This window comes from Homo sapiens, chromosome 12 (genome assembly GCF_000001405.40).
Source record: "Homo sapiens chromosome 12, GRCh38.p14 Primary Assembly".
In the NCBI taxonomy this organism is placed as follows: domain Eukaryota; kingdom Metazoa; phylum Chordata; class Mammalia; order Primates; family Hominidae; genus Homo; species Homo sapiens.
This window is the reverse complement of record NC_000012.12, coordinates 3,684,662-3,697,846: the sequence shown is the minus strand read 5'-3', so window position 1 is coordinate 3,697,846 and position 13,185 is coordinate 3,684,662. Positions and strand designations below refer to the sequence as shown.

Below are 13,185 nucleotides of genomic sequence, written 5' to 3'. Positions count from 1 at the left end.
TCGGTTTGGGCTGAAAACAGCCTTGGGTGTCACCAAACCAGGCCTGGCAAGTCCTCTACAACATGAAGCTCCTTGAGAATGGGGCACATTTTCTCCTACGTAAATAAACTGCAGAGCTCACAGCTGTGGCCGAGGTCTATGACATTGGGCAAGAGCTCACCAAGAACTTGTTGACTGTGAATGATGTAGGAGCAAGTGCATCCACCTGAGGAGAGCTTTCCACCCTCAGCAATGCTGAGGAGTCAGGACAGGGTGGGACTGAGATCATACAAGTTGTACAGGCTTGGATTTCAATCTCAGCTTTTGTAGTAATTTGCTGTGTGATATTGGGCAAGTCACGCAACCTCTCTGAGCCTCAGTTTTCACACTGCTAAAATGAAGATGATAATGGCTATGTCAGAGAGATGTGAGAATTACATGAAAAAAATGTATATAGAGGCCATGGCATGGTGTCTAAGTAAACGCTCTATAAATGGCAGCTGGTCTATCAGGATCTGTTTTGTTGTTGTTTGGTTGTTTAAATGGGAAGAAATTATTTTTGGGCTTCCCCTATTCCATCTCCTTTCAATCTGGAGATGTCTGTCTTCTTTCCGCACTCTTCCCTCCTCCCTTTGATGGGCTTGCTGATCTATTAGTGATCATGGAATATTTTCCCCTTGTCCTGAGCTTTTGCTAATTAAGAGGTAGTTGCTAAGAGATTCCTGGACACACTGGTGTATGGCTCTGTGCTTCCTTCTCATCCCCTCTTGTTCTTTTTCAGCCTCACTCCAACCCACCACACCCACTTCTCTCTCCCATTTTCTATGTTCAGGTTCTGAAAAAGACTTCAAGAAACTGACTAATCGCGATGGCTGCCCCTGACGGGAGGGTAGTCTCCAGACCCCAGAGACTTGGTCAGGGGTCTGGCCAGGGGCCAAAGGGGAGTGGAGCCTGCCTGCATCCCCTGGACAGCCTGGAGCAGAAGGAGACTCAGGAGCAAACGTCGGGCCAGCTAGTCATGCTGAGGAAGGCACAGGAGTTCTTTCAGACCTGTGATGCTGAAGGCAAGGGCTTCATCGCCAGGAAGGATATGCAGGTAAGTGGGGTCCCAGGTAGGCCTGCCCACTGAGAATGCCAGATGTCTTCCTGTCTTGGGTTAGAGCTTGCCCCGTGGGAGGTGACATCCTTAACAGAAAAGATGCCACCAGTTCTGTCTTGGAAGGAAGGATCTGCCCAAACTCTACTAGGAGCCGGACCTCCTGAGTTCATTCTATTTCTGGCCTTTACTTGCTGTCAGATTCCAGGGCTATTTCCTCTCTGCCTCAGTAGCTCTCCAGGATTGTGGGAAATGATAACAGTAACGTAAGGGACTTAAGTAAGACACGAGAAGAACCTTCTGAAACTAAAAGTAGAAAGGCATCAACTTGAGTTATAACAAAGTCGTTCCTGCTGTCTGTACCTTAGGAATAGGTACAGCCTCTCCCACAACATGAGAGGAAGGCATTTCTGAGGTCATTTTACCCATGTCTCGCCTTCAAACCCAAATACACTGCAATCTCCTGAAGAGATTCTCCAGAGAGATGGTATGCAGAGCATCAGTGCACACCATTGCCTAGTGCAGGGCCCGGCAGCCTTTTCATAAAGGTCCAGAGAATAAATATTTTCCACTTTGTGGACCTTACAGTCTCTATCACAACTACTCATCTCTGCTGTTGCAGCACAAAAGCATCCATAGGCAATATGTGAACAAATGAGGGTGCCGTGTTCCAATAAAACTTTATTTATGGACAAGGAAGTTTGAATTTTATATAATTTCCATGTGTCACCAAGTACTGTTATTCTTTTGATATTTCTTTTTGACCATTTAAAAATGTAAAAACCAGGCTTAACTCACTAGCCACACCAAAATAGGGGATTGCTGGTTTAGCCCAGGGGCAGAGTTTGCCCACTCCTGGTTTGATGCCTTTCTTTCTTTAGTTTCAAAAACTTCTCAGTGTCTGACTGAAGTCTCTTATGCTGCAGTCAAGATTTCACTTGAACATGGGTGAATAAAATACAGACTTCACTAGAGTACTTTGAAAGCAGCTCTTTTCCCCTGAGTCTTTGTGTCACTCACTCCATCAGAGTAGTTTTTGAAGGGACGCATCCCTGTGCTGTTGGAGGAAGCACAATGGCTAGGCTCTCTTTCTTTAAGTCTAGTTTTTCAGAATATACCAAAGTTGGGCAATGAAATGGGGACCCTCATTAGGCTCAGCCCCATCTCTGCTCATGCATGTGAGCTCCGAGGTGTGGAGGCTGTGAAAGGAGCTGTGTGACCCAAGGTGAAGTGTGGCAGTTCTTTCCCTGGCCCCATGTGGTGGTGTTCTTATGCTTCTCCTGGAGCTATTCCACTCTCTAACTGTTGCACAAATTGAGGGAAAAGACCTGGGGAACACCAGCTCAGCCCACAATTGAGCCCAACCTACCCTTCTTTGCAGTGATGACTCCCCCAGTAAGTTTCTGTCACCAAAACCCAGTCCTCAAAGGCTCACTCCATGTGGAAGGCCAGATTCAGTGTGTTTTGAGGAAACCTTTGACAAACCCCTGTCTGTGAACTTCATAATTGGCATTCACAGGTCTGCAGTAGCGGTGGTTGGTGTTAGTAGTTTCAAAATCAGGCTTAACTTTTGATTATTCCCTCTAGACAGAAAGAAAAGGAAATTCATGTTTATGGAGGTCAACTCTGGGCCACAAGTACTGTGCAACTCAGCACTCTTGCTGTATATAACCTAATTAACTCTCATTGAGCTCCACTCTTTAATGAAGGGATGAGGAGGCATGGAGAATTGAAACTAGGTATAAAGTTTTAAAGAAATCGCTTGTATTTGACTTGAAATATAGTCAGAAACATTAAGTCCCAGAAATACTGACTCAACCTTCCTCCCCAGTCCTCACTCCTGATCCAGGCAGGAGAACACCTGAATCAACAAGCCACCAAGCCGATAACTTGGCATCCACAGCATTTATTTCTGCTGTCTACTTAATTTTCTGAAGTTTTTCTGAACCTGTGGTCAGTGAAGCACTTGAAATGCTTAGTTCTTCAGGCTGGCAAGTGCTGTCAAGAGAGGGAACTGAGCGTGTCATTTAAGCACCATCTCTGGCTGCTTCGGCTGGCCACCTCTGAAGGAAGATGGGCTGGGGGAGATGCATGAAGAAGAAGAACAACAGGCTTCTCATGGTCAGCTGTGGCTCTCTGCAGAAAGTCCCCATGCCCCCCGGTTCTCCTGGAGCAGGTCCTCCAGGCATCTGTGTTGTTGGCTTGTCACTTCCACATGGGGCTGCGGTGTGCATACAGTCACCCCCTTTGGTTGGTGTCCAGCTTCCTGGGCCTGGCCACCACCGCCTTTTTTACTTTAGGCTCCCAGCACAGCCTCATGGGAACTGGAAGGGAAAGAACTCACATTTTTCATATACACACAAATTCAGAAAGCAGGAAAGGTCCTTGACAGCAGAGAGTGGTCTTCAAGGAAGGAGAGGCTGCAGGCCATGTGGGAGGGAGAACACAGGAGGCTGAGGAGCTAGTGGAGAAGCCAAGTGGGAAGAAAGTCACAGACAGCTTGCATTTGTTTTGAAAATGGAATGGGGTGCTGGCCAACATGGCCAACTAGACGCAGCCAGGTGGAACAGCTGCCACCAAAGGAACAAGATGACTGGTGCACTCCTAACAGATCTTCAGAGGGAAGACACTGAGAGTGGTTGGAGGGAAGACACAGAATCTGGGCTGAAAGGGGAGGAAGCTGGGAATCCTGCATGGGGCTACCATGCACGGGGACTCATTCCCAGCCCCCAACAACTCCAGGGGAATGGCTGAGTTGAACTGGCAATGAGCAACCCACTCTCTCCACGGGCCCCTGGAACCCAGCAGGAGGAGACCCCTCAACCACCATGGACACTCGATTTGGCAGGGAGAAGTGCTTAGAGAAGTAGAGGCGCCACGCCAGCTGATGCAGAGCCCAGAGGGTTTGATGTGGGAGCGTCTGTAGGAGAGCACAGCCAGATGCAAAGAACCCCAGTAAGATACTTCACAAGAAGATCATCCTCAAGACACATAATAATCAGATTCTCCAAGACTGAAATGAAAGAAAAAATGTTAAAGGTAGCTATGGAGAAAGGTCAGGTCACCTACAAAGGGAAGCCCATCAGACTAACAGCAGACTTCTCAGTAGAAACCCTACAAGCCAGAAGAGATTGGGGGCCAATATTCAACATACCGTAAGAGAAGAAATTCTAACCCAGAATTTCATATCCAGCCAAACTGAGCTTCATAAGCGGAGAAATAAGATCCTTTTTAGGCAAGCAAATGCTGAGGGAATTTGTTAGCACTGACCTGTTTTACAAGAAACCCATCTCCCTAGGCTCGACTTACTCCCACAGGAGACTTTAGTCCTAGAGGAACTGTCAGACCTGAACTCTGCAGGGCGGTCTTGTCCATCAGACAGGGCTGGTCTGACCTGAGCACCCCTTGGTCTGCTGGCCTCTCTGAGGGACCCAGCCTGGATGCGCTTGCTTGTGGAGCAGCCGCAGGTGTCCTGGGGGCCCGCATCATAGCTCCTGTGCTGGTAGACTTGTGGCTGACTGGCAGAGAGCTCCAGTAGGGCAGCCCGTAAGGCCATGTGCCAGCCTGCCTGCTCCCTCCTCACGTTGCAGCTTCCCCCAGGCCCACGGCAGCCCCCGCATTGCTTTGCCGGTGCATGTGTGTGCAGGCAGGTTTTGCCTTCCTTGCCCTGCCAGCACGCACGTGTGCATGCACCCTGTTCTGCCACTGCTGTGGCCAGAGTGCACTCTGCCTCCCTCTTCTGCTGGACCACCATTGCAGTTGGAGCGTTGGGGGGCACAGAGCCAGCCAGCCACACCCTCACCAGTGCCCCACTCTGATGCCAACACTGCCACAGAAGTGAAACTAGGCACAGAGAACAGCAAAACCTTTCCCTGCCCTGAGTGATCACCCATGACTGTGGTGATGGAGAGAGTGCACGTAGACTTGCACTAGCCAGTGCCTCACCCCCATGCTACCACCACCACCAGCACAACTATGCACACAGTTGCCCACAGGGGCCTCTGGCCCCCAAGCCATGCTGCCTTCATTACTGTACTGAACACCCACACAGAGGCAGGCACTCTAGCACCCACTGGCACCCTGCTGCAGCCAATAAGTGTGCACCCCACCATGCTGCTGCCACTGCTGCTGTTGGCACGTACAAAGAAGGACAGATCCCACTGCCACCACACTACAAAATGCTTTGGCTGGCTGACACCACCCACTGGAACATAGTGACCAATGGTCCAGAAGCACCTCACCCCCAACCCCACCCCCACCCCCAGCGTGGATTCCTAACCTTGAGGAGCCAGAGAAAAAAAACCAGGGCCTGATACAGGTCCCCTAGAGTTAGAGCACACAGTCCAGGAGTTGGGAGCTGAGCATTGGCCCCCTAAAATCTTCCAGAAATGAAGCCAGTCAGCTGAACCCACCTCATACCACAATCAAACCCTCCAGGTCATCGAATAGGATAAAAGGAAAAAAAAATCCAAAGGTCAGCAACTTCAAAGACTAAAGAAACATCAGCCCACAAAGATGAGAAAGGATCAGTGCAAGAACTCTGACAACTCAAAAAGCCAGAGTGCCTTCAATAGCACTACCTCTCCAGAAAGGGTTCTGAACTGGGCTGAGATGGCTGATGTGACAAAAAGAAAATTTGGCATATGAGTAGGAATGAGGATCATTGAGATGCAGGCATACATTGAAACCCAATCCAAGGAAGCTAAGAATCACAATAAAATGATATAGCAGCTGACAGACAAAATAGCCAGTATAGAAAACAATGTAACTGACCAGATAGATCTGAAAAACTACACTACAAGAATTTCATGATTCAATCACAAGTATTAATAGCAGAATAGACCAAACAGAGGAAGGAATCTCAGAGCTTGAAGACTGGCTTTCTGAAATAAGACAGTCAGACAAGAATAGAGAAAAAAGAATGAGAATCAATGAATAAAACCTCTGAGAAATATGGGATTATGTAAAGAGACAAAATCTATGACTTACTGGTGTCCCTGAAAGAGATAGGGAGAATGTAAGCACTTTGGAAACATATTTCAGGATATCATCCATGAGAACTTCCCCAACCTAGCTAGAGAGGCCAACATTCAAATTCAGGAAATGCAGAGAACCCCAGTAAGATACTTCACAAGAAGATCATCCTCAATCCTCAAAACACATAATAATCAGATTTTCCAAGATTGAAATGAAAGAAAAAATGTTAAAGGCAGCTATAAAGGTCAGGTCACCTACAAAGGGAAGCCCATCAGACTAACAGCAGACTTCTCGGTAGAAACCCTGCAAGCCAGAAGAGATTGGGGACCAGTATTCAACATACATAAATAAAAGAAACTTCAACCCAGAATTTCATATCCAGCCAAACTAAGCTTTGTAAGTGAAGGAGAATTAAGATACCTTTCAGACAAGCAAATCCTGAGGGAATTTGTTACCACTGACCTGCTTTACAAGAGCTCCTGAAGGAAGCACTAAATATGAAAGGAGAGACTGTTACCAGCCACTACAAAAACACACTTAAGTACGCAGACCAGTGAAACTATACAGCAACCACACAAACAAGTCTGCATAACCAGCTTACAACATGACAAGATCACATCCACATGTTAATAATAACCTTGAATATAAACAGGCTAAATGCCCCCAATTAAAAGGCAGAGAGTGACAAGCTGGATAAAGAACCAAGACCCATTGGTATGCTATCTTCAAGAGACCCATCTCACTTGCAGTGACACACATAGGCTCAAAATATAGGGATGGAGAAAAATCTAGCAGGCGAATGGAAAACAGAAAAAAAGCAGGGGTTGCAATCCTGATTTCAGACAAAACAGACTTTAAACCAAGAAAGACAAAGAAGGGCATTACATAATGGTAAAGGATTCAATTCAATAAGAAGACCTAACTATCTTCAATATATATGTACCCAACACAGGAGCACCCAGATTCATAAAGCAAGTTCTTAGAGACCTTCAAAGAGACTTAGACTCCCACACTATAATAGTGGAAGACTTCAACACCCCACTGACAGTATTAGACAGATCAATGAGGCAGAAAATTAACAAGGATATTCAGGACCTGAACCCAGCAATGGACCAAATGGACCTGATAGACATCTACAGAACTCTCCACCCCCAAACAACAGAACATACATTCTTCTCATCACCACATGGCACATACTCTTAATTTGGCCACATAATTGGACATAAAACACTCCTCAGCAAATACAAAAGAACTGAAATCATAACAACCACTCTGTCAGACCACAGCACAATCGGATTAGAAATGAAGACTAAGAAATTTACTAAAAACCATACAATTACATGGAAATTGAATAACCTGCTCATGAATGACTTTGGGGTAATTAAAGAAACTAAGACAGAAATCAAGAAATTCTTTGAAACTAATGAAAACAAAGATACAACATACCAGAATATCTGGGACACACCTAAGGCAGTGTTAAGAGGTAAATTTATAGCACTAAATGCTCACATTAAAAAGTTAGAAAGTTCTCAATTTAGCAACCTAATATCACAATTAAAAGAACTAGAGAACCAAGAGCAAACCAATCCTAAAGCTGGCAGAAGACAAGAAATAACCATAATCAGAGCTGAACTCAAGGAGATTGGAACACGAAAAACCATTAGAAAGATCAATGAATCCAGGAGGTTTTTTCTTTTTTTGAAAAAAAAAGTTAATAAAATAGATAGATCATTAGAAAAACTAATAAAGAAGAAAAGAGAGAAGCTCCAAATAAACACAATTAGTAATGGCAAAGGCAATATTACTACTGACTACACAAAAATACAAATAACCATCAAAGAATATTATGGACACCTCTATGCACACAAATTAGAAAATCTAGAAGAAGTTGATAAATTCCTGGACATATACACCCTTCCAAGACTGAGCCAGGAAGAAATTGAATCCCTGAACAGACAAATTATGAGCTCTGAAACTGAATCAGTAATAAATAGCCTACCAACCAAAAAAAAAAAGAAAAGCTGGTACCATTCCTACCGAAACTATTAAAAAAAATTGAGGAGGAGAGATTCCTCTCTAACTCACTCTATGAGGCCAGCATCATCCTGATATCAAAACCTGGCAGAGACACAACAAAAAAAGAAAACTTCAGGCCAATATCCTTGATGAACATTGATGCAAAATTCCTCAACAAAATACTGGCAAACCAAATCCAACAGCACACCAAAAAGCTTACTCACCATGATCAAGTAAGCTTTATCCCTGGGATGCAAGGTTGGTTCAACATACACAAATCAATAAATGTAATTCATCACATAAACAAAACTAAAGGCAAAACCACATGATTATCTCAATAGATGCAGAAAAGACTTTTGATAAGATTCAACAGCACCTCATGTTAAAAACTCTCAACAAACTAGGTATTGAAGGAACATACCTCAAAATAATAAGAGCCATCTATGGCAAACCAACAGCCAACATCATACTGAATGGTCAAAAGCTGGAAGCATTCCCCTTGAAAACCAGCACAAGACAAGGATGCCCTCTCTCACCACTCCTATTCAACATACTATAGGAAGTCCTGGCTAGAGCAATCAGGCAAAAGAAAGAAATAAAGCACATCCATTTAGGAAGAGAGGAAGTCAAGCTATCCCTGTTTGCAGAAGACATGATTCTACATCTAAAAAACCCCATAGTCTCAGCCCAAAAGCTCCCTAAGCTGATAAACAACTTCAACAAAGTCTCAGTACTTTGTACAAAATCATTAGCATTCCTATACACCAACAACAGCCAAACCAAGAGCCAAATCAGGAAGATATTCCCATTCACAATTGCCACAAAAACAATAAAATACAGCTAAGGAATACAGCTAGGAATACAGCTAACCAGGAAGGTGAAAGATCTGTATAAGGAGAACTAAAAACACTGCTCAGAGAAATCAGAGATGACACAAACAAAGGGAAAAACATTCTATGCTCATGCATCAGAAGAATCAGTATCACTAAAATGGCCATACTGCCTAAAGCGATTTATACATTCAATGCCATTCATGTCAAACTACCAAGGACATTATTCACAGAACTAGAAAAAACTATTTTAAAATTCATATGGAACCAAAAGAGCTCAAATAGCCAAGACAATCCTAAGCAGAAAGAACAAAGCTGGAGGCATAACATTACCCAACTTCAAACTATACGACAGGGCTATAGTAACCAAAACAGCATGGTACTGACACAAAAACAGACACATAGACAAATGGAACAGAATAGAGAGCCCAGAAATAAGGCTGCACACCCACAACCATCTGATCTTTGACAAAGCTAACAAAAACAAGCAATGGGGAAAGGACTCCCTATTCAATAAATGGTGCTGGGATAACTGGCTAGTCATATGCAGAATATATCAAAACTGGACCCCTTCCTTACAATATACAAAACAAAACTCAAAATGGATTACAGACTTAAATGTAAAGCCCAAAACTATAAAAACCCTGGAAGACAACTTAGGCAATACAATTCTGGACATAAGAGTGGGCAAGGATTTCATGAGGAAGATGCCAAAAGCAATTGTAACAAAAGCAAAAATTGACAAATGGAATCTAATTAAACTAAAGAGCTTCTGCACAGCAAAAGAAACTATCAACAGAGTAAACAGACAACCTACAGAATGGGAGAAAAGTTTTGCAAACTATGCACTGACAAAGGTCTAATATACAGCATCTACAAGGAACTTACACAAATTTATAAGAAAGAAACAAGCAATCCCATAAAAAAGTGGGCAAAAGACATGAATAGAAACTTTTCAAAAGAAGACATACATGTGTCCAACAAGCATATGAAAAAAAGGTCATCACTGATCACTAGAGAAACGCAAATCAAAACCACAATGAGATACCATCTCACACTAGTCAGAATGGCTATTACTAAAAAGCCAAAAAATAACAGGTGCTGGCAAGGTTGCAGAGATAAAGGAACACTTACACACTGTTGGTGGGAGTGTAAATTCGTTCAACCATTGTGGAAAGCAGTGTGCAATTCCTCAAAAACCTAGAAACAGAACTACCATGGACCCAGCAATCCCATTACTGGGTATATACCCAAAGGAATAGAAATCATTCTGACACAAAGACACATGTATGTGTCCATTGTAGCACCATTCACAGGAGCAAAGACATGGAATCAACCTAAATGCCCATCAATGGTAGACTGGATAAAGAAAATCTGATACATATACACCATGGAATACTATGCAGCCATAAAAAGAACAAGATCATATCTTTTGCAGCAACTTGGATGGAGCTGGAGGCCATTATCCATAGCAAACTAATTCAGGAACAGAAAATCAAATACCACATGTTCCTACTTATAAGTGGGAGCTAAAGGATGAGAACACATGGACACATGGTGGAGGGGGACAACACACACTGGGGCTGGTTGGACAGTGGAGGATGGAAGAAGGGAGAGGATCCGGAAAAATAACTAATGGGTACTAGTCTTAATACCTGGGTGATGAAATAATATGTACAACAAACCCCCATGACACAAGTTTACCTATATAACAAACCTGCACATATATCCTTGAACTTAAAAGTTAAAAAAAAAAAAAAAGAAAATGGGATGAGAGGAGCAAGCCCCTCCTCCAGGGCTGTTTTTCTTCTTTCTTCTTATTAAAAATGGATTGTGAGATTGGCTTTACAATTGTCAAGGGGTGGGGAGACTGCCATGTGATCGGAGCCCACCAGTAAGTAGCCAGCTCACCCAGATAGAGCAGGGACCACAGGGAGAAAGGGCAGGGTGCTTAAGCTGTTTTTAATCAGGGTCCCTGAGAAACCTGGAGAAACCCAGGATGAGCCCAATGTGTGCTACACTCAAGCTAGGAGCACAAGCTGCCCTCTGCTCGGGCATGTGAAATGCATGTGTTCTGCTCTAGGGGTAGCAGATGATGGACGTTGACCTGCATGAACCAAGTTTAGAGAGTCCTCAGCCTCCCTTATGACTCCTCAGGTGTCACACTGTCCTTCTTGAGGAATCTCTCTGGGTTTCCTGGGGATCTCTCCAGACAGAATTGGGGTAGATGTTGCTTTGCAGGGTTAGGTCTGGTGCAATACCCTAGAAGCTTCACGGGGGGCTGAGTCAGTCCTGCCTCAGAGGAAAGGACAGAGAGGAAAAGGCTACAGAGAGCATGAAGAGACTCCATCAGCTGGGAGAGGGAGAGGGAGAGAGGATGGGCAGGAGATCTCTCTGAGAAAACCTAGAGCCTCAAAAGCCCTGTTTCCCTGATTTTTTGGAGGAGTAAAAGGATTGTCTACCAACACCAAGCACCTGCCTCCCCAACACTGCCCAGAATTCTTGGCTATGCCAAACTTAAGACTCATTTAGGAGTTGGCAAACTAACCAAATCTGGGCCACTACCTGTTTTTGTAAGTAAAGTTTTCTTGGAACACAGATGTGCTCATTCTTTTATGTGTTTTCCGTGGCTACTTTCACACTGCAGTGGCAGAGGGAAGTAGATGTGACAAAGACCGAATGGTCCACAAAACCTAGAATATGCACTCCCTGGCTGTTTTCAGAAAAAGCCAGCTATCTCCTGATTTAGGTTAACTAGAAAACTTTAAAAGATTTTTATAGTAAATTAACTTGGGTTTTAATCCTCAATCTGCAACTTGCTAGTAATACGAATTTGTGTCTCTTAACCCCTCTAGGCTACAGTTTCTCAGCTGTGAATTATTTATAGCTACCTCCCAGCATTAAAAGATAATTGAATGAGCTTAAGCATGTAGCACACTCAGCCCTGAGACTGGGACCTGGAAATCCCTGGAAATGCACTGTGTATGTGCCACATCTTAGCCCAGTACCTGATGTCCTCTGCATTGTGATTGTGTTTAATTGTGGTAAGATACAGATAACACACAATTTACCATTGTAACCATTTTTTATGTGTGCAGTTCAGTGACATTAAGTACATTCACTTTCTTCTGCAACCACCATTATCATTTATCTCCAGAACTCTTTTTATCATGCAAAACAGAAACTCTGTACCCGTAAAACAATGTCCTCATTTCGCCCACTCCCAGCCCCTGGCAACCAGCATTCTATTTTCTGTCTCTCTGAATTGGACTACTCAAGGTATCGTATATAGGTGGACTTATATAATATTTGTCCTTTTGAGACTGGCTTATTTCACTTAGTATAATGTCCTCAAGGTTCATCTGTATCGTAGCATGTGTCAGAATATTTTTAAAGGCTGAATAATATTCCATTGTATGTATATACCACATTTTGTTTCTCCATTCCTTTGTCAGTAGATACTTGGGTAGCTTCCGCCTGTTGGCTATATGTGAATAATGCTGATATGGACATGGATGGGCAAATATCTGTTCAAGACCTTGCTTTTTATTCTTTGGTGTGTATACCCAGAAGTGGAATTGCTGGATTATAGGATAATTCTATTTTGTAAATTTTTTGAGGAGACACCATACCATTTTATACAATAGCTGCACCATCACATTGTAATTTTAAGGTGCAAGTTGTCTGTCCTGTCTTAGAGAAAAGAAACGGGCATTTCTGCTGAAAAGGGAACCTTCCACTCGTATCCAGCTGCTGTTATTCTTTGTGTCCAATCTACATGAGTGGCGGCAATTTTGCCTCCTGGAGGACATATGGCAATGTGTCATGTTCACAACTACACCAATTGTCATGCTTGGGGATAGGTTCCAGCCCATGCTGAGGTCCGGAGGGAATGAGTGGATGAGCAGAAACAATACTCAGGGGGCCGTAGGCAGGTGAATATGGTTTTATTCAGCAGCAGCTTTCATCAACAGCTTTCTCACACTGTCCGCCCTGTCTTGGCTACTTAATCTGGCGGCTCCCACACACAGCTGCGTGGCCCGCTCTCCCTTGCCTTCAGGGTCAGCAGCTTAATTCTTTCTTTGGGCATGTGTCCTGGCTCCCCGCAGTCTGTCTGCAATGACAGGCAGCTCTGACTCTCTCTCTTTCTCTGGGCACAAGCGCAAGCATGCCTGCACAGTGTCAACAGGACAATTATATCTTTTACAGACAATAGTGGTGTACAGCCAAGTGATGGCCTTCTCATGTTATGGCTACATGGCTGTGATAACAAGTGGAATTATACGC

At 43.9% G+C, this 13,185-nt stretch overlaps 1 protein-coding gene across 14 annotated transcripts in view, besides 1 other annotated feature; it reads left to right on the top strand.

Moving 5' to 3' along the window:
- The window catches only part of CRACR2A (calcium release activated channel regulator 2A), a 137,782-nt gene that overhangs the window by 55,263 nt on the left and 69,334 nt on the right, over positions 1-13,185 (top strand). For 12 of the 14 annotated variants that reach the window (XM_011521034.4, NM_001144958.2, XM_006719021.4 and 9 more), the window contains one exon: positions 812-1,075. In XM_011521034.4, the coding sequence (XP_011519336.1) occupies positions 848-1,075 (228 nt within the window). In that variant the 5' untranslated portion in view covers positions 812-847. Of the gene's footprint in view, positions 1-811; positions 1,076-11,753; positions 11,943-13,185 lie in introns of those variants that run through there. The other 2 variants (XM_047429737.1, XM_047429738.1) reach the window with 2 other exon arrangements.
- Positions 4,795-5,421: an enhancer, noted in NCBI's record as "H3K4me1 hESC enhancer chr12:3801592-3802218 (GRCh37/hg19 assembly coordinates)". NCBI's record gives its function as "activates a minimal SCP1, AML or CMV promoter by ChIP-STARR-seq in primed H9 embryonic stem cells {active_cell/tissue: H9 hESC(primed)}" and the evidence as "EXISTENCE:reporter gene assay evidence [ECO:0000049][PMID:30033119]".